We start from the raw sequence: 27,071 nt of genomic DNA, 5'->3' as shown, positions 1-27,071 counted from the left end.
GTATCACTCTGCTGCCCAGGCTGGAGTGCAGTGGCCTGATCTCAGCTCACTGCAACCTCTGTCTCCCAGGTTCAAGTGATTCTCCTGCCTCAGCCTCATGAGTAGCTGAAATTACAGGCGTTCACCACCATGCGTGGCTAATTTTCACTATTTTCTTTTTTTTTTGGAGATGGAGTCTTGCTCTGTCGCCCAGGCTGGAGTGCAGTGGCACCATCTCAGCTCACTGCAACCTCTGCCTCCCAGGTTCAAACGATTCTCCTGCCTTAGCCTCCCAAGTAGCTGAGATTACAGATGTGTGCCACCACACCCGGCTTATTTTTGTATTTTCAGTAGAGACGGGGTTTCACCATGTTGGCTAGCCTGGTGTCAAACTCCTGGCCTCCAGTGATCCGCCTGCCTCGACCTCCCAAAGTGCTGGGATTGCAATCATGAGCCACTGTGCCTGGCCCAATTTTTACTGTTTTTAGTAGAGACGAAGTTTCACCATGTTGGTTAAGCTGGTCTTGAACTCCTGATGTCAAATGATCCTCCCATCTCGGTCTTTCAAAGTGCTGGGATTACAGGCACGAGCCACCGCGCCCAGCCATTAACTATTTTTAAATACACATTTTGAGGGGAACTTAGTTTGAAGACTTCTGATATGCTGCTTTAGTGGTAGCCTCTCTTGGACTTTTCCTAGCTTATGTATAAATTATATTTTTAATTGCATTTTATTTATTTTGAGACAGGGTCTCACTCTGTCGCCCAAGTTGAAGTGCAGTGGCATGATCTCTGCTAATTTCAACCTCTGCCTTCCAGGCTCCAGCGATCCTCCCACCTCAGCCTCTCGAGTAGCTGGGACTATAGGCACACGCCACCACACCCGGCCTAATTCTGGTATTTTTTATAGAGACAGGGTTTCACCATGTTGCCCAAGCTGGTCTCAAACTCCCGAGCTCAAGCGATCCACCGGCTCTGGCCTCCCAAAGTGCTGGGATTACACACGAGCCACAGCACCTGGTCATGTATAAATCTTAATGTAGGTTGATTAAAATAAATTTTTTGTTCAGAAATAATACATTCATTTAAAAAAAGGTACAACTTATTTATGTCCATGGAAATACACAGACGCATTCGATATAAAAAATAAAAAATCTTCTCAAATGTTTGTTGTTCTTTCTTCATTAGGCCTAAAACTCAATTTTTCTTATTGTATGTCCCAGGGTGGTTGTGTCTAAGGTCTTGAATCCCCATCATGGTCCATCTCGCATAAGCCATGATTTAAAGCCTACATAGGCATTATTTACAAGACCTTTCAGCTTCTGGAATCATTCATCCTAAACACGTTTGAGGCTGTATAGTACATGTATGCTTCCCAAAAGAGGATTCGTGAGTTATCCAGTGTCCAAGTTAAAAGAGAAATTTCAGCATTATCTACCTCCCTCCACTCCAGTGCCCATAGTGATTATACCTCATAGATGACACATTCTCACCACTGGCTGTGTATGGCTTTTATTTAATTTTATTTATTTATTTTTTTTTATTATTTATTTATTTATTTTGAGATGGAGTTTTGCTCCTGTTGCCCAGGCTGGAGTGCAATGGCACGATCTCGGCTCACTGCAACCTCCGCCTCCTAGGTTCAAGCGATTCTCCTGCCTCAGCCTCCCGAGTAGCTGGGATTATAGGTGTCCACCACCACGCCCAGCTAATTTTTGTATTTTTAGTAGAGACGGGGTTTCACTATATTGGCCAGGCTGGTCTCAAACTCTTGACCTCAGGCGATCTACCTGCCTCGGCCTCCCAAAGTGCTGGGATTACAGGCGTCAGCCACCGCGCCTTGCCTTGTTTTATTTTAATAAAATAGACACCAGTGAAACCACTAACCAACAGGTGCAAGAGAACACTGACAATACTAACCTCTCTGTTCCTCCTCCATACCAGTCTCCTGCTTCCCACATCCAAGTAACCACCTGAATGTTGTGTTTATCATTCCCTTGATTTTAAAAAGCACCTGCTTTTTGAAAGCAGGCTCTTCTGCTTGTCTTTTACATACAGAACTGAAGCAGCTGAGGTCATGACTAGAGTCCCTGTTTACTACTGCTGAATTACCAAATGCCCTACATTCAGGATCAGCATGTTACTGCACAGAGCCTGCAAGTGGCAGTGTCAGTTTTCAGCACAGCATCAGGTCAGGCTATATTTAACATGCATCCTCTTCTCTGCTGAAGAGCTGCAGCTGTGGCTCTGTTAGTCTGTGAACAAGGAGGACAAGTGGGAACTGAGGGACTTTAATGGAAAGTTGTAACAGGATTCGGTTAACTCAATCATAAATTAAATGGGCCTGTATTTAAAGGTCTAAGATAGTCTAGTTTCACAATACTATAATCTTTTTTTTTTTTTTTTTTTTTTTTTTTGAGATGGAGTCTCACTCTGTTGCCCAGGCTGGAGTGCAGTGGTGCCATCTCAGCTCACTGCAACCTCCACCTCCCGGATTCAAGTGATTCTCCTATGCCAGCCTCCCAAGTAGCTGGGACTACAGGCATGCACCATCGTGCCCAGCTGATTTTTCTTTTTTTCCTTTTTGGTAGAGATGGGGTTTTGCCATGTTGGCCAGGCTGGACTCGAACTCCTGACCTCAGGTGATCCACCCACCTAAGCCTCCCAAAGTGCTGGGATTACAGGCATGAGCCACTGTGTCTGGCCGCTATAATCTTTCTTTTTTTTAAAAGAAACAAACAAAAAAACAGTATCAATTACCACACTGAATCAAATCTTAATTAAAATGTTTAAAACAGCTTGACAAACGGGCACAGTGGCTCACGCCTGTAATACCAGCACTTTGGGAGGCCAAGGAGGGCAGATCACTTGAGCCCAGGAGTTTGAGACCAGCCTGGGCAACATGGCGAAACTCCATCTCTACCAAAAACAAAAAACAATAAAAAAAACAAAAACAAACAAAAAACCCCCCAAAAATCAGCTAGGCACTGTGGTGTGTGCCTGTAGTCCCTGCTACTTGGGGGGCTAAAGTGGAAGGATCACCTGAGTCCCAGGAGGTCAAGGCTGCAGTAAGCCATGATCACGCCACTGCACTCCAGCCTGTGCAACAGAGTGAGACCCTGTCTCAAAATAAATTTTAAAAAGGCCAAGTGCAGTGGCTCATGCCTGTAATCCCAGCACTTTAGGAGGCTGAGGCAGGCAGATCGCTTGAGGTCAGGAGTTCAATACCAGCCTGGCCAACATGACTAAACCCTGTCTCTACTAAAAATACAAAAATTAGCTGGGCACGGCAGTGGGCACCTGTAATCCCAGCTACTCGGGAGGCTGAGGCATGAGAATCGTTTGAACCCAGTAGGCAGAGGTTGCAATGAGCTGATATTGTGCCACTGCACTCCAGCCTGGGTGACAAGGGAAACTCCATCTCAAAAAATAAACAAATGAAAAACAGCTTGACAGTTTCCATATCTGTTATAAAATCAACTGTTTTAATGTTTACTGTCTGGTCCAAAACCTGCGGCATAAAAACCATAACGAACATAAATGTTTACGGAAAATTACATTTCCAGGCATACGAATTGTAAATATGAGTAAAATTCAGTGATAATTGGACAGCCACAGAACATGCTTTTCAAGGAGGTGCAATGATATATGGAGGTAGTGAAGAAAATATAAAGACAAGAAGCAAAATAGTCATGAACTATGCCTTAATTGTTTGAGTAAGTTTATATTACAGCCTTCCAGGGGGACTACTTGAAAGAGAACTTGGTGAAACGTCAGTACTGTGCTGCTGTTGTAACCCCCAAAGGAATATCTGCCTTGCCCCAGGAAGCCTGAGACTGAGAAATGCTTCTGGGATTCTTCTGAGCTTGGAAAATTGGTATGAGGCACCGAAATCATCTCAATGAAACTGAACAAGGATAATTATAAAGTTTAGTCTTTGGTCCAAAAAAACCCCATATATATATATATATAAACCTATGTAGGGAAAGGACACAACTTTGCATAATTATGACTCACTAAATCAACAGTATATCACAGCTAAGAAAATCCCCTGACCTCAGGCCATACTGATAAAGTCTTTTCAACAGGGAAAGTGACAGTCTTAACCCACAACAAGCTAGCTACAATGTGTTCCCTTCTGGATACTCCACTATGAAAGGGAACTTAAACATCACGGTTCAAGCAGAAGGAAATTTGCATTTTGGTGAGGGAAGGATGAAGTTGCTGGAGAGTTTTTAAGACTGGGAAAGAGATCAAGCTTTCACACATGTGAAGGCTATTATACAAGAAGGATTAAATATGTTCTGAATTAATCTAGAGGTATTAGATAGAGCCCACATAAAACAAGAAGAGTAGTTAGAACTCAAAAGGCCCTGAGATGTTCCAAAGAAGCTAGGGAAGAGACACAGACGAATATAATTATCATTAAGAATACCAAAGTGTGAACTCCAGCGAGAAAGAGAATGGAGAGCCTTTAAAACTTCATCTAGGCCGGGCGCAGTGGCTCACACCTGTAATCCCAGCACTTTGGGAGGCTGAGGCAGGCGGATCACAAGGTCAGGAGATCAAGACCATCCTGGCTAACACGGTGAGACCCTGTCTCTACTAAAAATACAAAAAATTAGCCGGGCATGGTGGCGGGTGCCTGTAGTTCCAGCTACTCAGGAGGCTGAGGCAGGAGAATGGCATGAACCCGGGAGGCAGAGCTTGCAGTGAGCTGAGATCGCCACTGCACTCCAGCCTGGGCGACAGAGTGAGACTCCGTCTCAAAAACAAACAAAACAAACCAAAAAACACTTCATCTAATACTGAGAATAATACTTTTTTTTTTTTTTTTAAACAGGGTCTTGGGGCCGGGCGCGGTGGCTCACGCCTGTAATCCCAGCACTTTGGGAGGCAGAGGTGGGCGGATCATGAGGTCAGGAGATCGAGACCATCCTGGCTAACACAGTGAAACCCCGCCTCTACTAAAAAATACAAAAAATTAGCCGGGCGTGGTGGCGGGCGCCTGTAGTCCCAGCTACTCAGGAGGCTGAGGCAGGAGAATGGCGTGAACCCGGGAGGCGGAGCTTGCAGTGAGCCAAGATCGCGCCACTGCACTCCAGCCTGGGCGACAGAGCGAGACTCTGTCTCAAAAAAAATAAAAAATAAAAAAAAAATAAACAGGGTCTTGGTCTGTTGCCCACGCTGCAGTGCAGTGGCGCAATCTCAGCTCACTGTAACCTCCGCCTCCTGGGTTCAAGCAATCCTCCCACTTCAGCCTCCTGAGTAGTTGGGACTATAGGCACACATCACCATGATCAGCTAATTTTTTTTCTTTTTCTTTTTGAGATGGAGTCTCGCTCTGTTGCCAGGCTGGAGTGCAGCAGCGTGATCTTGGCTCACTGCAATCCCCGCCTCCTGGGTTCAAGCGATTCCCCTGCCTCAGACTCCTGAGTAGCTGGGACTACAGGCACGCACCACCATGTCTGGCTAGTTTTTTTGTATTTTAGTAGAGACGGGGTTTCACCATGTTGGCCAGGATGGTCTCGACCTCCTGACCTCATGATCTGCCCGCCTTGGCCTCCCATAGTGCTGGGATTACAGGCGTGAGCCAACACGCCCAGCTATGCTCAGCTAATTTTTAAATTTTTGGTAGAGACAGGGTATATTGCCCAGGCTGGTCTAGAACTCCTGGGCTCAAGCGATCCTCCCATCTTGGCCTCACGAAGTGCTGGGATTACAAGGCATGAACCACTGCACCTGGCCAGAATCTATAATCTTAAGATTACCCTGGTTCCTCTCACAATCAAGGCTCTATGGAGAAAATGGCATTTTCTTTCATGTATTCTTTGTTTGACACCAGTTCTAAAACCTCAACACACTGACTAGAAACTTGATTACAGATTCTAGAAAAACTCCTAGAGTCAGAAAACAGGTTTTAGTCTTTATTCTGCCATAATTCAAGTGTCTTATCCTGGATGAACACCTTAGGCTCTGTGTAAAATTCAGATGTTTTATCCATAAAATGAGAGCTATATTAGAATATTTTCCAGCTCTATAACTACTTTATTTTTGAGACAAGGGTCTCATTCTGTCACCTGGGCTGGAGTGTAGTAGCATGATCACCACTCACTGAAGCCTCGACCTCCTGGGCTCAAGCAATCTTCCCACTTCAGCCTCCCAAGTAGCTGGTATTACAGGCACGTGCTACCCTGCCCAGGTAACTTTTGTAATTTTTCCAGACAGGGTTTTGCCATGTTGTCCAGGCTATTCTCAAACTCCTGGGCTCAAGTGATCTGCCTGCCTGGGCCTCCCAAAGTGGTGGGACTACAAGCGTGAGCCACCATGCTCAGTCTATAACTCCCGAAATTCTGAGCTGAGTTACATTACTATCTTCTCCAGTAAATGTCATTGAATTTATAATAAAAAATTGATGTTAATGTCCACATTTCTAAAAGTAACAGTCAACTAATACATGAATGATGCCTAAGAGATTCCATGTTACTTAAAAACTTCAAAAATTAAAGAAAATGTGTTTTGATCTTTGATTTGGTTAAAAGAGGATATATAAATTTGAATATAAAACAGAATTAACAAAAGTTATTAGGATAAGTATCTTTAAGTAGTATAGCAAAAATTTTTTTAAATTACCGTGTCCTGTGGTTGTAGAGTGGAAATTACTTTGGACTTAACAGTTAACATAATATGAAAAAGTTAAAACAAATTGAGCTTCGGCTAACTACAAAGTTCATTTTAGTCACTTTCAATCCTTTCTGGTATGTTCTATGACTCACTTAAAATACTCAGAGACAGGGTCTTGCTATGTTGTCCACGCTAGCCTCAAACTAGGCTCAAGTGATCTTCCTGCCTTAGCCTTCCTCAGTAACTGGGATTACAGGCACACACCACCACGCCTGGCTCTATGACTTTTAAAGTTAACTATTAGCAGGGCATGATGGCATGTGCCTGTGGTCCCAGTTACTCAGCAGGCTGAAGCAGGAGGAATGCTTCAGCCCAGGAAGTTGAGGATGCAGTGAGCTGTGTTCACAGCACTGCACTCCAGCCTGGGTGACAGAGTGAGATGCCATCTTCAAGAATAATAAAATGAAATAAAGTAAAATAAAATAAAATATAATAAAGCTAACCAGAAAGGGGACATTTGGCCAGATATGATGGCTCCCAGAACTTTGAGAGGCCAAGGTGGGAGAATTGCTTGAGGCCATGAGTTCTAGACCAGCCTGGGCAGTTTAGCAAGATTTCATCTCTACAAAAAATAAAAAAAAATTAAAAACGAGATATTCCAGTGCTATGGAGTTCAAGGTCTATGGGTTTTTATTTATTTATTTATTTATTTATTTTCTTGAGATGGACTTTCACTCTTGTTGCCCAGGCTGGATTGCAATGGCGCAATCTCGGCTCACCGCAACCTCAGCCTCCCAGGTTCAAGCGACTCTCCTGCCTCAGCCTCCCAAGTAGCTGGGATTACAGGGATGCGCCACCACACCAGGCTAATTTTGTATTTTTGGTAGAGACGGGGTTTCTCCATGTTGGTCAGGCTGGTGGAGAACTCCTGACCTCAGGTGATCTGCCCACCTCGGCCTCCCAAAGTGCTGAGATACAGGAGTGAGCCACTGCGCCCAGCCATTTTAATTTTCATTTTATGGATTTACATTAAAAGTTGTTTTTTTTTCTTTTTTGAGATGGAGTCTCTCACTCTGTCACCCAGGCTGGAGCGCAGTGGTGCGATCTCAGCTCACTGCAACCTCCACCTCCCGGGTTCAAGCAATTCTCCCTGCCTCAGCCTCCAGAATAGCTGGGATTACAAGCTCCCACCACCACGCCCAGCTAATTTGAATTTACATTAAAAGTTTGCAGAACTTTTTTTTCTAGGCATCTAAAAATTCTACCTTCAAAGGCAAATCCAAATATCATAATAAATGAGTCAAATTAAAAATATCAAAAATTCATTTTAGGCTGGGCATGGTGGCTCATGCCTGTAATCCCAGCACTTTGGGAGGCTGAGGCAGGCAGATCACCTGAGGTCAGGAGTTCGAGACCAGCCTGGCCAACATGGCGAAACCCCGTCTCTACTAAAAAATACAAAAATTAGCTGGGCGTGGTGGTACACGCCTGTAGTCCCAGCTACTCGGGGGGCTGAGGAAGGAGAACCTCTTGAACCTGGTAGGTAGAGGTTGCAGTGAGCTGTGATTGCGCCACTGCACTCCAGCCTGGGTGATAGAGACTCCATATCAATAAATAAAAATAAAAATAAATTCATTTTGGAGCTTAAATTAAGCATCAAAAATTCAATTTGCAAAAATTATACAGCCAATAATCTAAGGTTTTCAGAAGTGCGTTTTAACAAAAATTGGTCAGGTGTGGTGGCACATGCCTGTAGTCCCAGCTACTCAGGAGGCTGAAGTGGGAGGATTGATCCCTTTAGCCAAGGAAATCGAGGCTGCAGTGAGCCAAGATTGCACTACTGCACTTCAGACCGGATGACAGGGTGAGACTACCATCACAAAAAAATAAAAAGAGTGCGTTTCAGTTTTTTCTGTCCTTTTATTTATTTTATTTTATTTTTTGAGACGGAGTCTTGCACTGTTGCCCAGGCTGGAGTGTAGTGGCCCAATCTCGGCTCACTGCAAGCTCCGCCTCTTGGGTTCACGCCATTCTCCTGCCTCAGCCTCCCAAGTAGCTGGGACTACAGGCGACCACCACCACGCCCGGCTAGTTTTTTGTACTTTTAGTAGAGACGGGGTTTCACCGTGTTAGCCAGGATGATCTCTATCTCCTGACCTCGTGATCCGCCCACCTCAGCCTCCCAAAGTGCTGGGATTACAGGCATGAGCCACTGCGCCCAGCCTGTCCATTTTTTTTTCAATTTTAGAGACAGGGTCTCACTATATTGGCAAGACTGGACTCGAACTCCTGAGTCCAGGTGATCCTTCCATCTCACATTCCCAAGTGGCCAGGACTACAGGTGCACACCATTGTGTACTGCTCTTCCCCCTCTGTAATTACTGCTTGGCAGCACTGAGCTTCTATTAAGTCCCCTGAGGGGTGGCAATGAGCAAATGTGATAGCTAGTCTCTGGGGGGCTACAATCTAGGAACATTCTTTCTTGCTTCTTTTTTGAGACAGAGTATCGTTCTTGTCGCCCAAGCTGGAGTACAATGGCGCGATCTCAGCTCACTGCAACCTCCGCCTCCTAGGTTCAAGCAATTCTCTTGTCTCAGCCTCCCAAGTAGCTGGGATTACAGGCACCCACCACCACGCTGGCTTTTTTTTTTTGTATTTGTAGTAGAGACAGGGTTTCACCATGTTGACCAGACTGGTCTCCAACTCCTGACCTTAGGTGATCCACCCACCTCAGCCTCCCAAAGTGCTGAGTTTATAGGCATGAGCCACGGCACCTGGCTCCTTTCTTGCTTGTATGCCCTACTATAATAAAGGGAGCAAAAATAAAATTGCTTTTACAGTTGCCCTCACAGACCTCACCTTTCCAGATCTTCTGTTTTTGCAACAAATCTTAATATATTCAAATAATGAAATACATTTTCCCAAAATCTTTCTAGAGATCTGATTTGTTGCCTATCCGACCCTCTACCCCCAAATCTCTCAACCTGTGGTAAATTAGAAAGAGCAGGTTCTAGCTTTGGGCTCTTTTTAGAAGGAAAAAATATCTTCATTGGTTAAAAAAAATGAGCTGAAGTGCTCTTAAAGTCTCAATAAATCTCCTATCTTCAGTTATATCACAAATGAGTGACTCAAGGTCTCAGTCCTTGTTTCAGGGTAAAAAGCAATGTGAAGAGTTAGTCTAAAACTGCTAAAAGAAACAGGCAACATTTTTAAAGCCAATATTTGCGTAAGCCTTTATTTCAAATCTGTTTTGCATAAAAGTAGCAGCCTGCTCTCTACCTTTTGGTTTCATCATTTAGTAGGGAGTGACACTTATGCCAGCTGTGCACAGAGAACAGCAGCAAAATGCTTAAATACCAGAGTGCTCAAGTACACCAAACAGTGTAACAGATCAGATGCAGTTGTGAACATGGGTTAACGCAGTGAAATTGTGCACATGCATTTCTGGAGAATATTCTCCAGGAATTAGAAAAACCTTGAGGGATTCCGTTTAGTAGAGAGTTCTGTTCTAACCACCATGGCCTGCTGTTTCTGAGAGGCAGCTGTAGTGCCACAAGAAAAAGACTGGATTGAACCAGTCTCAGTTCTGCTGCTTACTAGTTGTGTGATTTTTCAAAAGTCCAACTCTATAAATGTCACTATCTACCTCAGAGTTTGAGGAATGGTAACGATTAGATTAGATAATAAATAGAAAAATGCTATGCAATTTTAGGTGTTGCTCTAGTTTACACATATACCTTCTGTTTACACACAAATGACCTGGCATGTCCCCTCATGGCTTTAAAACCATCCTGTACCATACCAATCACCCCCATCCCCCACCCCGGACCCCATACCTCACCCCACCACAGACATATCCTTCCCTGACAAACATACCCTTCTTCTCTATTTCTGCTGTGTTATCTGACTTGCCTCTGATGTTCATTTACTGAAAACATACTCAGGTGGCCCTTGAACAACACAGCTTTGAGCTGTCTGGGTCCACTTATACACAGCTTTTTTCAACCAAACATGGATCTAAAAAAGAATATTCTCGAATGTGAAATCTGCATATGTGGAGGGCTTTTTAATTTTTTTTAGAGACAGGGTCTCACTTTCCTGCTACCCAGGCTGGAGTGCAATAGTATGCGATCAGCTCACTGCAGCCTAGAACTCCTGGACTCAAGCGATCCTCCCACTTCAGTCTTCCTAGTAGCTAGGACTACAGGCACACACCACCACACCCAGCTAATTTTTGTAGGGTTTTTTGGTAGAAATGAGGTCTCATTATGTTGCCCAGGCTGGTCTCAAACTCCTAGTCTCAAGTAATCCTCCTACCTTGGCCTCCCAAAGCACTGAGACCACAGCTGCTTTTCTTACATGTGGGTTCCACAGGGTGACTGTGAAACTTGAGCATGCATGATTTGGTTGTACACAGGCGGTCCTAAAATCAATCCCCTGAGTACACTGAGAAATGATTATGTCCATACCATACAACCCCCCCATACCAAAATCCATGAATGCGCAAGTCCCTTATATAAAACAGTGTACTATTTGCACATAATCTATCCACATACCCCCTTTAAATCATATCTACATTATTTATAATACCAAATACAATGTAAATGCTAATGGGAACAGTTGTAATATTATATTGTTTAGGGAATAAGACAAGAAAAAAAAAAGTCTGTTTGTACACGTTCAATACAGATGCAACCATCCATTTTCTTCCCCCTAGATATTTTCAATCCACAGATGGTTGAATCCAAGGTGTGGAACCCATGCATACAGAAAGCCAACTGTACTCATCCTCCAAAACTTGGCTCAAATGTCACCTACTCACAGAAGACTTGCTGAATCCTTCCTGTGAAATCTGTTACATATCTCTGCTGATCTTTTTTTTAAATTTGAGGCAGGGTCTCACTCTGTCACCCAAGCTGGAGTGCAATGGCATGATCACAGCTCACTGCAGCCTCAACCTCTCCAGCTCAGGTGATCCTCCCACCTCAGCCTCCTGGCTAGCTAGGACTACAGGGCCACATCACTATGCCTGGCTAATTTTTTGTATTTTGTTTTGTAGACATGGGGTTCTGCCATGTTGCTCAGGCTGGTCTTGAAGTTCTGGGCTCAAGAGATCTACCCGCCTCAGCCTTCCAAAGTGCTGGGATTATAGGTGTGAGCCACTGAGCCTGGCCGAGAATTCTATCTTAATACATCCTTCGCATTCCCAGCATCTAGCTTCATCTTGCAAAAGGACAGCATTCAGCAATATTTATGGAACTAATGGCCTTGAATTCCATTCTCTAGACACTGTGATCTCACTATATATTCTGGAAGAAAAGATCTCGTATTCAGCAACAGATATTAGTGGTAAAACAGATGCTAAGGCATGGATTTTCATATCTACCCTCAAAGTTCTCTCTCTCTCTCTCTCTCTCTATATATATATATACACATACATATATATATATACACACATACATATATATATACACATACATATATATATACACATACATATATATATATATATATATATATTTTTTTTTTTTTTTTTTTTTCCCGAGACGGAGTCTTGCTCTGCCGCCCAGGCTGGAGTGCAATGGCGCGATCTTAGCTCCCTGCAACTGCCACCTCCCGGGTTCAAGTGATTCTCCTGTCTCAGCCTCCCGAGTAGCTGGGATTATAGTCACACACCACCATGCCTGGCTAATTTTTTGTATTTTTAGTAGAGACAGCGTTACACCATGTTGGCCAGGCTGGTCTTGAACTCCTGACCTTGTGATCCACCCGCCTCAGCCTTCCAAAGTGCTGGGATACAGGCGTGAGCCGTGGTACCTGGCAAAGTTATATATTAACATATATTTCTAATAACAACTTATTTAAAAGCCCAACCATATGCCAATAAGCAATCCATAGAAACTTTTTCATGACACTTGGGAGAATAAAGTCCCTGAATCTTCACTACTTCAAGAACATATCAGAGATGAACTTACCATCATCTAAAGTGATGTCCTGCAGACCAATGGTTGCAAAGTTAGGCTCTCGATCTTCTGGTTCAGGTTTAATGCTCACAGTTGCCCCATCAGGTGGAAATGACGCTGGATCACACAAACTGTGACATATTAAGGATGAAGGTGCAGAAAGACCCCCCTGGCCCGTACTTTGTGCTTGAGTTGAGTGCTGTCCAGAATGCATTCTGGTGGCTGGAGACGGTGATGAGGCAGTTCCTGAGCTAGGAGATTGGTAAGGCATAGGCTGAAGCTGAGGAGATGGTGGCCCAGAAAGCGGTGAACTAGCCAAGGGATGAGAAGCTGCTGGGGAAGCTGTTGTAGCAGACCCTGAATGTGAAGGACCATATGTAATAGGTTGTAACTGAGACGAAGGCTGACCTGTAATCTGGTCAGCCACTGGAGAAGAAAGAGATCTTTGTCCTGTATTTGAACAATGATATCCCATTGATTGCAGATGAGGCAGGGTATGCACAGAATGAGGTGTATGGGCTAAGAGATGTCCTGTTGAGCCTGAATTTGAAGAATGAAATGGTATGGATGACAGTGGTTGACAGCCAAGATTCACTAAACCAGAAAGAGTTGCATCCTGCTGAAACAAAACTGAATCAAATTCTTGACTAGAGGCAGCATTAATAGGAAGACAAGTTGGTCCATTGTACACAACATTAGTTTGCATAGGCTGATAGGAAGACCCCACAGGAGGTGTTGGTGTGACTTGAAAAGGCTGGTGTACAATTGGAGAAGGAATCATATGCTGTTCTTTACTAACACTCTCATCTCTACACTGCAACTGTGGCAGATGGGATGAGGTCACCATGGATGCATATGTTTGTGGGATGGAGCAAATCAAACTTCTCTGTCCTGACAGTACACTGTCATGTGAACACCCTGAATCAGAGGAAGGCCTCTGGGTCTGAGCAGGATGAGGCACAGGCAAAGATGGAACTGAAGACAAATCAATCTCTTCTCTGTGTTCTTGCTTCATCAAAACTGAAAAGAAAATGATTAAAGCAAATATTATTATACAATACATAAAATTATCATGACAGGCCTTCATGCTAGGTTACACAACTACAGCGTAAGCTGAGGGGCAAACTCAAATGCCAAGGAAGGCAGTTCATATAAAATATCGTGTATGTCTGTGTGTACGTGTAGACATATATATATGTATACACATACACGTTTTGCTTCTGTATAATATGAATATCTTTGGGAAGAGGCACAAGAAACTATGTTAGAGTCACTGCTGGGAAGGAAAATTAGGTGACTAAGCGACAGAATTAGGAAGTTTACTTTTTACTATATACTTTTTTATGTCTTTTGAATGTTTTTCACTGTGTATTTATTACCTATTCAAAATTAAGTAACTAAAACAAAAAACAAAGCCCTAGGGCCTAATTAAGTATTGACTTGGGGATCCCTGATCCGAAGCCTACCAAGTCATCTGGTTTTACATGTTGCATCATATACCAGAAATCATGACTCTGACATTCATAGAACTTCTGCTTTACAATGGTTCTCACATGCATCTCACTTGATCCTCTGCCATCATGTGGGGATCAAAACAAGTACTAAAATCCACAAAAAAACTAACAAATACATTCTGCAAAGTTGCAGGATACAAAATCAACATACAAAAATAGTAAGTTATATTTCTATAAACTAGCAATAAACATCTGAATAAAAATTCAGAAAACAATTTCTTTTTTTTGTTTTTGGGAAACAGGGTCTCACTCTGTCGGCCAGGCTGGAGTGCCATCGTGCAATCTCGGCGTACTGCAACAAGGGATCCTCCCACCTCAGCCTCCTGAGTAGCTGGAATACAGGCGTGCGCCACCATGCTCATGTTTATTTTTTGTGGAGACAAAGTCTTACTGTGTTGCCCAGGCTGGTCTCGGACTTCCACACTCAAGCAATCCTCCCACCTCAACCTCCCAAAGTGCTGGGATTATAGGCATAAGCCACTGTGCATAGCCAACAATTTCATTTATAATAACATCAAAAAATAATAAAATACTCAGAAATGATTTAACCATGGAAGGCAGGACTTATAACTGAAAACTACAAAACACTGCTGAAAGAAATTAAAGAAGCTCTAAATAAATGGAAAGACTTTCCAGGTTCATGGATTGAAGACTTAATATTGCTAAGACGACAACACTCTCCAAAGTGATCTTTTTTTAAAAAAAATGTCCTTGAGTCATATAAAGTGATCTTCAGATTCAATGTAATCCCTATCAAAGTCTCAGTGACAGTTTTTGCAGAAATAGAAAAACTCATTCTAAAATACACATGGAATCTCAAGAGATCTCAAATAGCCAACACAATCTTTTTTCCCATGTGTCCAAGGCATAAACCAGGTATGGGCACAGACCAAAAGCCAAGCTGGAATAAATAAGGCATTGATTTGTCCCTGGCTTATATGAGATAGGCAGCACCAACCAGACATCACTCTACCCAAGTCAAGGACAACCAATATCATCTTGAAAAAGAACAGAGTTGGAGGAAATCAGGACTTCCTGATTTAAAAACTTACTACACAAAGCTACAATAATTAAAACAGTGTGATATTAACATAAGGATAGACATAATCAATGTGATGGAATAGAGTCCAGAAATAAAATCTCACACATTTGTCAACTAATTTTCAAAAACAAGGGTGCCAAAACCATTCAATGGGGGAAAGAACAGTCTTTTCAACAAATGGTGCTGAGAAAACTAGATATCAACATGTAAAAGAATGAAGTTGGGGCTGGGCGCAGTGGCTCACACCTGTAATCCCAGCACTTTGGGAGGCTGAGGTGGGAGGATCACTTGAGGTCAGGAATTCGAGACCAGCCTGGCCAACATGATGAAACCCTGTCTCTACTAAAAACACAAAATTAGCCAGGCGTGGTGGTGCACACCTGTAATCCCAGCTACTTGGGAGGCTGAGGCAGGAGAATCACTTGAACCCGGGAGGCAGAGGTTGCAGTGAAACGAGATAGTACCATTGCATTCCAGCCTGGGCAACAAGAGTGAAATTCTGTCTCAAACAAAAATAAAATTTAAAAACCCTAAAAGAACCAGCCATTTGCAATTAATGATCATCCCTTCACTGGATATTGATATTGGTTGGATCCCTATTGCAAGGGGATTGCCAAAAAGGTAATAAATTCAGAAATACCTTAATAAAAAACAAGCAACTATTGATGGCAGTGGTTGCCCATCTAGAGTGGCCACTGCCATGACCCTGGCTGCAGTGGGCGAGGTGCAGCCAAGACTGCGTGCTCCACAGAGCTGGTGGGAGCTGGGAACAGGTGGAAGCCCCGCCACCTTCTGAATTGGCAGGGCGGGAGCCTTGCACTTCCTGGGTGCAGTTGTGGCCACCCAGCTGCAGCTGCTGACCCGGGCATCCCTGCGCTCTTGGCGGGGGGAGAGGGGCGGTAGCAGGAAGAAGCCCCACCATCCTGGGTGCAGCTACAGCCACTCAAACGATGGCTGCTGACCTAGGCATCTCTGCCTAGGAAGAGAGACCCAGGAAGCCCCCCTCCCGCAACAGCTCAGAGATGCTTGCTCCCAGTGTCTGGCCCCTCCCTGCTCCTGGTGCCCATTTCAATCTTGGAGCGAGGTTGAGGCTGAGTCTGGGTGATGTTGCAACCCAGCCGGGTGTGTATATGCTTGGGGCAGTGCTGACACACCAGACCCCTGCCGCCTCAGCCCCCTCCAGACTTTGGGCACTGATGAGCATGGGAGGGAGGTCGAGGTAGGGCTGAGGGCAGCTCAGCCCTGGTTTGCAGGCGCCCCTTGACAGAAACAACCTGGGCACCATGAACAGCAACAGGAGGCAGACAGGTTCCTGGGCGGAAAGAGGTGGGTTGCCAGTGAAGCCCCACCTTCAGGGTGGAGAAGGCCTGAAGTCTGGGGGCTGGGCTGCCAGTCCCACAGACCAGAGTGCGAACTTACGGTGCTTTTTCTGGGCCCACCCATGGCCCCCCCATGGACCAGTCAGCATGCACTTTCTCTCCTCTGAAGCCCATATAAAACCTGGACTCATCCATACTCAAAAAGAGAAAACAGGATGACCAGCTGTGGAGAGGAGCTACCCACCCCAGGGTCTCCTCTCTGCTGAGGGCTGAGAAGACAACAGGACAACCTGCCTGTGGAGAGGAGCTACCCATTCTAGAGTTTCCTCTCTGCTGAGGGCTGAACACTTGGGACACCCTGGCTGCAGAGAGGAGCTACCCTCTGTGGGTCTTCTCTGAGCTCTTCTATTGCTCAAAAAAGCTCCTCTTCATCCCGCTCACCCTCCATTTGTCCGTGTACCTCATTCTTCCTGGGCACAGGACAAGAACTCAGTGGGGCTGAAAGAGTTGTAATACAAACAGGGTTGAAACAGGCCCCCTGCTCGCTATGTTGGCAGCAACAAGGAGAGAAGAGCTGCGGCCTTCAGGAAGCCCAGACCTAGGAGCTCTCTGAGCCAGGGCTGTGACACCCTCTTTGGGGCTCTGAGGTTCCTGGCATCTCAAGTTTCTAGGAGCCACCATGTTCCCCAGTGCCAGCCATGGAAGCTGCCTGCGGTATCCCTGGTCCAGCTGCAGCCTCACAGGGCGCCACCACCCATGCTGGTGCCTAGAGCTGCCAGACCCTCCATAGCCAGCGTGCCTGGCTGTGAGCAGTGGCTGGACCCCACGCTCACTCACTCACACACCCCTTCCCACTCTGCTCACCCTTTGCAGGCATGGGATCCAGGCCAGTTGCACGAGCCGAATGCAGCTTGCCAGGCCAAGTGGCCCCAGAGGGCTGTGGGCAAAGGTGCCACTAGCCACAGGGGTTTTCGGCTGGCAAAGTGACACCTCAAGGATCCCATAACAATATGACTATCTAAAAATTGTATAAGTAAAATTTTAAAAGGAGTTATTCGCCATAAACAAAATAAAATCTCTAAATAAAGTATTCATACAAATTAATGAGACAAACAAAATAACACTAACATAACAGAGATCAGGTCATACAACAAAATACTAAGAAGTTATTACAATTCTGTAAAATTCTCTGTTGATGATGAAAAATTAAAGTGTTCAGTTACAAAACTATATATGGGCTAGTCCCATTTCCATTTTTTAAAAATTTTGTTTATATGTGGATCAAAGGAATCTGGAAGAACAGAATGATAGTCTCAGAATAGAAGAGAATTTGAATGTTTTTTTTGTTGTTGTTTTGTTTTTGTTTTTGTTTTGAGATGGAGTCTTGTTCTGTCACCCAGGCTGGAGTGCAGTGGTGTGATCTCAGCTCACTGCAAGCTCCGCCTCCTGGGTTCACGCCATTCTCCTGCCTCAGCCTCCCCAGCAGCTGGGACTACAGGCTCACGACACCACGCCCGGCTCATTTTTTTGTATTTTTAGTAGAGACAGGGTTTCACCCCATGTTAGCCAGGATGATCTTGATCTCCTGACCTCGTGATCCACCCAAAGTGCTGGGATTACAGGCGTGAGCTACAGCGCCTGGCCAAGAATTTGAATGTTTTAATATAGTCTTTCCACCTGTCTTTTTTTTTTTTTAATTACAGTAATGTACTGACTTTTGTAAAAATTTTATTCAAAATGTCATTTTAGAAAAAAATGAAAAAAGCTAAATGCTACAGAGATAGTAACCAACCAGAACAAGTACTACACAAGCATTCCTGTGTGTCTATTCTTCTGTTAGTGTATGTCACCTGATTTGTCATCTATCAACCATAAGGCCAGTGATGAGTTACAGTGCAACCCAATGTTTTCTTTCCATTCCAGAGCTCTACTGATTTCCATTCCCAAATGTAATATCCTCTAGGATTCTGCCTTTTTATTGTCCTCCCAATTCATGGGCTGAAAGGCGGCAAATTCTCCTGGTTTGCCTTTTTTTTTTTTTTTTTTTTTTGAGACGGAGTCTCGCTCTGTCGCCCAGGCTGGAGTGCGGTGGTGCGATCTCGGCTCACTGAAAGCTCCACCTCCCGGGTTCATGCCATTCTCCTGCCTCAGCCTCCCGAGTAGCTAGGACTACAGGCACCTGCCACAATGCCCGGCTGATTTTTTGTATTTTTAGTAGAGACGGGGTTTCACCGTGGTCTCAATCTCCTGACCTCATGATCCGCCCACCTCGGCCTCCCAAAGTAGCGGGGCCACAGGTGTGAGCCACCGCGCCCGGCCCCTGGTTTGCCTTTCAATTACTACCATTATAAGGTAGTAAGTAATCAAACCCCCTAATCTGTTGACTGATTTTGCTTTTCCTTATTGCAATCTGGAAAGCCCTCTTCTTTCTCATTCAGGTTAGAGTCTACAATCCCTCATCTCAACAGTATTTGATAACCTCTTTGGACAGGACATACCCCATTCTGGAGGAGATGCATACCTTACCACCCGCCTTGAAGAATTTGAGTGCTACTTAAGAAAGTTTAACAGCAGGTCAACTTGTTACCAAGGGGTATGAAAAACAAAAAGGGAGGAAAAAGAAAATTAAACCCCTGGGCCAGGCGCGGTGGCTCACACCTGCAATCCCAGCGCTTTGGAAGGCCAAGGCAAGCGGATTGCCTGAGGTCAGGAGTTCGAGACCAGCCTGGCCAACGTGGTGAAACCCCGTCTCCACTAAAAATACAAAAATTAGCCAGGGTACCTGTAATCCCAGCTACTTGGGAGGCTGAGGCAGGAAAATCATATGAACTTGAACCCTGGAGGCGGAGGTTGCAGTGAGCCAAGATCACACCACTGTACTCAAGCCTGAGCAACAGGGTAAGACTCTCTCTCAAAAAAAAAAAATAAATAAATAAACCCCTAATTATAGAATTAATTATAATAGTATCTGTAAATTGATGATCAACATCAATGGTGCCCTTCAATCAAGTCTACAATGCTACTAGGTTTCTGTAGAGAACTTTCTCTCTCTTTACAAAAACTATTTGTGTGTTTTTTGTTTGTTTGTTTGTTTGTTTGTTTGTTTTTTGAGACAGAGTCTCGCTCTGTTGCCCAGGCTGGAGTGCAGTGGCGCGATCTTGGCTCACTGCAAGCTCTGCCTCCTGGGTTCACGCCATTCTCCTGCCTCAGCCTCCTGAGTAGCTGGGACTACAGGCGCCCGCCACCACGCCCGGCTAATTTTTTGTATTTTTTAGTAGAGACGGGGTTTCACCATGTTAGCCAGGATGGTCTCGATCTCCTGACCTCGTGATCCACCCACCTCAACCTCCCAAAGTGCTGGGATTACAAAGTGTGAGCCACAGCGCCCGGCCTACAGAAACTATTTCAAACATTCTCCATGATTGTCCAACTGTGAAATCACCCAAACTTCCCTCTGCTCCACAACAGGACACTTCATGCCATTTTTTGCGGAAAAAACCTAAAGCTATCATATGGAAGCTCCTTAAACTCTCCATTACTAAATCTACAAACTTTTTTCATCTACATCCATCTTAATCCATCTTCTTTATCTTCTTTCCCTTCTGTTCCTTCTCCCCTCTAAGGCCCATTTTAAATCCTATCCCCTCTCATCTGTCCCCAAAACCTGATATTCTTTATCATCACTGATGTTCTGTCTGTATATTCAAAACACTCTTGGTGTTTGAATCACCTTCTTGGACTTATCTCATGTAAATCTCACTCCTCAGAGTCACTAATTTCAGAAAAGATTAAACTGGTTCTTGACACTTTATAAAGAAAAGAAATATGAGGAAAATGATTTTGAAACACAAGTCTGATCATGTTACCTTTCTGTTAAAGCTCATTTCTTTTTTTTTTTTTTTTTTTTTGTGACGGAGTTTCGCTCGTTTCCCAGGCTGGAGTGCAATGGTGCGATCTCGGCTCACCGCAACCTCCACTCCTGGGTTCAAGCAATTCTCCTGCCTCAGCCTCCTGAGTAGCTGGGACGACAGGAATGCACCACCACACCCGGCTAATTCTGTATTTTTAGTAAAGATGAAGTTTTTCCATCCATGTTGGTCAGGCTGGTCTCAAACTCCCAACCTCAGGTGATCCTCCCGCCTCGGCCTCCCTAAGTGCTGGGATTACAGGCATGAGCCACTGCGCCTGGCCACACTGCCTTTTTATGGTGCTAAGGGTACAAGGAGAGTTCATGACCCAGAACCACACACATACTCACGAACACCTGCCCCTCTGTAATGCTGGGAATTTTTGATTAAAACCCTTCTGAAAAAAGACCTTAAACCTACCGTCCATCTTCTAATTTCCTTATAATAAATCATTACAAAATAACAACTGAGACCACATCTAATATTTAAAGTCAACAAAAACTTTAGAGTGGGCATCTGTTGGTGTTTTCATTGTTTATAAGCACTCTACCTTAAACACTGTAATATAGGATTCGTTAAATAACTTTTTATTCATTAGGAAAGAAAGCTCTATAGTAAACCATCATGACTCCTCGTACCTGGTGTATAAGTAAAACGTTGAGACTGGCTTTTTTTCCTCTTGCCATTGCAAAGATAAAAGTGCACCTGCACTGCAGCTGTAACTGCTGGGTTATGATATGGAGGAACTTCAAGGACAATGTGAGCCTAAGGATGGAAAGCAAGATTGTGTTACACTCAGAACTAAAAATGAAATGCACCTGTTAAACACATCACAACTCATGAGTCTTAACTACAAGGCTCCAGCATAGATAATTATGCACATCAGCTAGTCATATACATCATCTGGAGATTTACTAAAGGGATACTTCAGTCTTGAAAGAGTAAGTCTTTTAATCAATAAAAGAGAAATTGCTTTTTACTCACCCAATTGGGTTTCTGGTTGTAGCAGAAGTAAAAAGTCTTACATACTATGTAGTGAGATGTTTTACTCTACTGAATATTACATGTTACTATGTATCTTAACAGTAAATTCATTCTGATTTTTAATTAGGTTTAATGGTTCCCAAGTAGCATTATAGTTTAGATTTCTTATTTTAAATTTTATATTCAAAATGTTCTAAACTGGAGCCAGGTGTGATAGCTCATACTTGTAATCCCAGCACTTTGGGAGGCTGAGGTGGGCGGATCACTTGAGGTCAGGAGTTTGAGACCAGCCTGGCCAACATGTTAAAACCCTATCTCTACTAAAAATACAAATTAGCCAGGCATGATATTGCACGCCTGTAGTCCCAGCTACTCAGGAGTCTGAGGCAGGAGAATCGCTTGAACCCGGGAGGCAGAGGCTGCAGTGAGCCGAGACTACACCACTGCACTCCAGCCTGCACGACAGAGCTAGACTCCATCTAAAAATAAATAAATAAAAATTAAAAAAATAAAATAATCCAAATGTTCTAAACTGGCATTAAACAAAATGTGTTATCTATATCAAAAATAATTTTACAAAACCAAGGTGAAAATCTTTAGCCCCAAACCAAATACAATCCTCAACCTAACTGCTCCAAATCTTTGGAAAGCACTGTGGGAAGTGGTATTCCCTAGCCCAGAAAATGCTCTGTCTCCATTCCAACCACCATAACAAGACCAAAACTTTCAATGTAGAATCCTAGAAAGCTTAACTAAATAGCTGAAGAGTTAGAAATATGTGTTAAGTACACAATTCCTAAGGACTTGTCTTGCTCCTAACTTTTACCCACTACATATGTTCTTTCTCATTTTTCCATGAAGGCCTATACATATGTTCTTTATTGAATTTGTTTTTATTCCTAAATGAGTTCAGAGAAATTAATGATAATTTCAATAAGAACCTTCTGATGATCTTTCATTTCTAGTTTCTCCTTCCCTATATACAATAAGGAGAAAAGAAGACACTAACTGGTTATCTTTTCTAAACTTTAATTTAATTTACTTTAATACTAGGTAAATATTTTACTTCCAAACCGCTAGAAATTTTACTTTTTTAGACAGGGTCTCACTCTGTCACTCAGGCTGCAGTGCAGTGGCATGATCATGGCTCACTGCAGCCTTGACCTCCCAGGCTCAGGTGATCCTCCCACCTCAGCCTCCCAAGTGGCTGGCACTACAGGCGCACCTCACCACGCATGGCTAATTTTTTGTATTTTAGAGACAGGGTTTTACCATGTTGCTCGGGCTTGTCTCAACTCCTGGGCTCAAACAATCCTCCTGCTTCAGACTCCCAAAGTGCTGGGATTACAGGCATGAGCCACCATGCCCAGCCTAATTTTACTTTTTTATTAATCAATATACAAAAGAGTCATCCATACCATAAAGCAGCATTATTCAATTTTCTATTCAGTGTCTTAAATATTTCTTAAGAATTAAGGTAAATTTCTTACCCCTTGACATTTTTCCCTGATTATCTTCCCTTCTACCTCCCACTGAGGTCGTCCATCTATTGAAAGAAAGAGTTTATAGTTAAAAGCAATTCATATCAGAAAGCATACAGACAAAATCTAATGCATGGATAGTATCACAAATTTATTAACAAAGGGGATCTTTTTTCCACTGACTTCCATTATGAAAATAAAATATAAATATGTACAAATGGGGAAAATACAAGGAGAAAGATCTTGGGCTGCCCAGGTTAGCAGATCCCACTGAGTTCATTCTAACCATCTACCCAAGTGATGTTTAAAAGCCCTCTGAGAGATACCATCTCACACCGGTTAGAATGGCGATCATTAAAAAGTCAGGAAACAACAGGTGCTGGAGAGGATGTGGAGAAATAGGAACACTTTTACACTGTTGGTGGGACTGTAAACTACTTCAACCATTGTGGAAGACAGTGTGGCGATTCCTCAAAGATCTAGAACTAGAAATACCATTTGACCCAACCATCCCATTGCTGGGTATATACCCAAAGGATTATAAATCATGCTGCTATAAAGACACATGCACACATATGTTTATTGTGGCACTATTCACAACAGCAAAGACTTGGAACCAACCCAAATGTCCATGAATGATAGACTGGATTAAGAAAATGTGGCACATATACCCCATGGAATACTATGCAGCCATAAAAAATGATGAGTTAATGTCCTTTGTAGGGACATGGATGAAGCTGGAAACCATCATTCTCAGCAAACTATCACAAGGACAAAAAACCAAACACCGCATGTTCTCACTCATAGGTGGGAATTGAACAATGAGAACACACTTGAGACACAGGAATGGGGAATATCACACACTGGGGCCTGTCGTGGGGTGGGGGAAAGTGGAAGGGATAGCATTAGGAGATATATCTAATGTAAACGACAAGTTAATGGGTGCAGCACACCAACATGGCACATCTACACCTATGTAACAAACCTGCAAGTTGTGCATATGTACCCTAGAACTTAAAGTATAATTTAAAAAAAATAAAAATAAAAAACAAATAAAAGCCCTCTGAGAACACCGCCATCAAGTGGTGGCCAACTTTTGCTTGTACAACTAAAATGACAGGAAACTCACTTCCTCACCAGGTAACTCATTCCATCTTGGATAATAAATGCTGCTAGAAAGCTCCTCGTGATAAATGAAATGTCTCTTTATGGTATCCAACAACTAGGCTAAACATTATTCCTTGCCGTCACAAAATAAAATCTTGATTGCTTCTCTGTGAGATTATATTTCAGATGTTGAAAAGCTGTTATATCTGCTTGTGTCTCCTCTCCTACTGGCTAGCATCCCCAGTTCTGTGCCTATTCCTTACATAATATTTTAGACTTCATGGTCTCTGCTTAAACGTGCTCCTCCAAATTCACAAGGCCCAGGACTGAATAACCTAGGTGAGAAATGACCAAGCATGGTACAGAATGACTGAGGCTCTAACCACCGTACACGGAAATGCTGTGTCTTTGTTAATGAAAGCTTTCTTGGGGTGCAGGCGGGGAAGCTTTCTTGGGAGCACCATATGCTGACTCTCACAATAAGTATGTGACCAAGGGTCTATACATTTCCTACTGCCATGTTCCCATACTGTGCACTTAATGCAGCTGAGTTGGTATTTTTCTCCCAGCCCTTTGGAACATTACTTACTCCCAGCAGGGAGACTTCATTTTGTTGGATCCCTTGACTTGTCAAAATATTTTTTAGATACTGATGGTCCTAAAAAATGTTTCCTAGGCTTTCCAGATTTCTGTCACCTGAAGATTTGGCCAACACATTTTCTGTCTCTTCATCCTAAGTGAACTACTCATTTGGAGACAGCCTTATCTGCTACTAAAGCTCTCCGACTGATGTACAATTATTCCAAAGCATTCTTTTTGTGTCATGGGCATTCACCCAGTGACTAAGCCACACACAGCTTGCATCACTTCTTCATCTGGTCTGTGAAGTTATCATGAAATATTTCATCAAATGCTTTCCAGGTTGTAACTATCATTTTCCAGTCCAGTAACTAGACAATGGTTACTTCTGCTGCACAAGAGATACTACAGGCAAGTGCTACACCTACTTAAAATTACAGCTCAGTTCAGCAACCATTTGCTGGATCCTTATGTGCCAGACACTTCATGTTACTGAGATAACTGAGACAGGATGCCCTGCCTTCAGCCTGTGGATGAAAGGCAAACGCAAACAGTTGATTATAATAAAATGTGTTGGGTACAATAATTAATAAAGGTACACTCTGAATAAACCAAGAACACAGGGATCAGGGTCTTCAACCTAATCTTGGGGAGGGGTAGTGAGAGAAGGAAGGCTTCCTGGAAGAGCTCTTGAACTGAGACTTAACATGAGACAGAACTCATAATATGAGGAAAGGGTAATTATAGACAGAAGAGACAGCATGAGCACAGGCAAGATGACATGAACCCCTAAGATATAGAGACTTAACAAGCAGCTGTGATGCTGTATAAAGTATGAGGCAAGGAGCAGTAAGAAAGAGGGTTGGAAAGACTGGCAGCAGATTATGGCCTGAATGCCATAATAAGGAGCCTAGAAAATGAAGGGGATCACTGAAGGTGCTTTTAAAATGGGAGTTACATGTTTACAACTGCAATCTCCTCTAAAACCAGTAACTGCCACCATTTAACATGATTCAACTTCAGTCAAAAGCTCTTAAATGTGAAGCTCTGGGCCAAATAAATGAATTCAATAATACCTATTAATTGTATTCATGCACAGATGAATTTTTACAGTGGAAAGGAAGGGACAGCTCTGAGACACCGTCTCTTCCTCCTGCTCCTTATTCACCTAAAATGTGACACCTACAGAAAGACCTTTCTTGATGACTTGATACAAACAGTTCACAATTCAGTCTCTATCACTATACCCTCTTCATACAATTTTATCTGGAATAATCTTGTTCATTTATTTGTTTATAGGTGCTTCCCCCACTACAATGTAAGCTCTATCAGAGCACACAACCTGAAGGTTGTATTCAACATTATGTCCCCAATGCCTAGACTAGTGTCTATATCACATAGCACTGCTACATAAATAATTGATGAATTAATAAATTATGAAACAGAACTGATGTTTTTTGAAGACAGGCAGGGTATGGGTCAGGGTTGAAGGGAAGTTAATTTTAAAGGAGAATAAGACAGCCACATACTTCCAGCTCAAAGAGAAGATGCTGATATTATTAATCAAGTTAAGAAACCCAGAGAGAAAAACTAGTTTGTAAAGTCAGATATGTTTTCATATTTTAAGTATCAGTGAGACATTTATGAAGCAATATCCAGTGGGTATTTTAAATTTCAGGTTAAAGTTTAAGAGAAACATGTTGCTACAGAGAGAGATTTGGGAGCTAATAAAATTTCTCAAAAAGAAGGAAAACAATGAGAAGAAAAATAAGTAGAAAACCTTAGAAAACATCTATATTTAAGAGCCAGAAAAATTCGTATAAAAAAACAAACAAGAATAAAGATGTGTGAGAACCAGATAACAACAAAGCCAAGGGGGAAAAGTGTTAAGAAGGAGAGTAAGTAGCTGGCTGTCAAATTTTTAGGTGATTATGATTTCAATGAAGTGAAAGACAAAAGATTAAAGAGTAGCAGGTAAGGAAATGAAAGCATATGATACTACTTTTTTGAGAGGGTGGATGCTAAGCGATAGAGAAATGAAACAAAAGCTTAAGAGGATGACAGATTTAAGAGAAAGGGAATATTTAGGATGAGAAGACATAAACATAATTAAACTCCAAGAAGAAGGATCCAGTAGAAAAAGATAGAGAAATTATAAAAGAGAGGTGATGGGGGCACCGTATAGCCTTTAATACTTAAGTTTTAAAAAGACAAAAGAATGAAAACATTAAAATTTTAATTAAGAAAAAACATAATAAAAAAAGTAAAAAGAAGTTAAATATAGAAATCAGTGAAACAGAAAGGCACACTGAAAGGTTTGATAAAGCCAAGAACTATGGAAAGACTGGTAAAAAATCCAGAAATGGCATAAATAAATAACAGGAATAAAAGAGTGGGGGGATATAACTCCAGATGCAAAAAGAGAATACTGTGAGTTAATTAATGTCAATAGATTTGAAAATGTAGGGGAAAGGAATAAAGTCCTAGAAAAATATATATGACCAGGCGGGCACATAGGCTCACGCCTGTAATCCAAGGACTTTGGGAGGCCAAGACGGGCGGATCACCTGA

At 42.9% G+C, this 27,071-nt stretch overlaps 1 protein-coding gene and 1 non-coding gene across 4 annotated transcripts in view, besides 1 other annotated feature; both read right to left on the bottom strand.

Moving 5' to 3' along the window:
• Positions 1-27,071, bottom strand: part of NFATC3 (nuclear factor of activated T cells 3) — a 143,890-nt gene that overhangs the window by 24,906 nt on the left and 91,913 nt on the right. For all 3 annotated transcript variants that reach the window (NM_004555.4, NM_173163.3, NM_173165.3), the window contains exons 7-9: positions 22,824-22,879; positions 20,988-21,114; positions 12,579-13,586 (exon numbers count right to left, since the gene is read on the bottom strand). In NM_004555.4, coding sequence (NP_004546.1) covers positions 12,579-13,586; positions 20,988-21,114; positions 22,824-22,879 — 1,191 coding nt within the window. The remainder of the gene's footprint in view (positions 1-12,578; positions 13,587-20,987; positions 21,115-22,823; positions 22,880-27,071) is intronic.
• Positions 14,933-15,067, bottom strand: LOC124900379 (small nucleolar RNA SNORA48). Its single transcript, XR_007065228.1, has one exon. It is a non-coding gene; the product is annotated as a small nucleolar RNA SNORA48 (small nucleolar RNA).
• Positions 16,199-16,699: an enhancer, noted in NCBI's record as "H3K4me1 hESC enhancer chr16:68221558-68222058 (GRCh37/hg19 assembly coordinates)". NCBI's record gives its function as "activates a minimal SCP1, AML or CMV promoter by ChIP-STARR-seq in primed H9 embryonic stem cells {active_cell/tissue: H9 hESC(primed)}" and the evidence as "EXISTENCE:reporter gene assay evidence [ECO:0000049][PMID:30033119]".

Source organism: Homo sapiens, chromosome 16 (genome assembly GCF_000001405.40).
Source record: "Homo sapiens chromosome 16, GRCh38.p14 Primary Assembly".
In the NCBI taxonomy this organism is placed as follows: Eukaryota; Metazoa; Chordata; class Mammalia; order Primates; family Hominidae; genus Homo; species Homo sapiens.
This window is presented reverse-complemented; position numbering and strand designations above follow the sequence as displayed.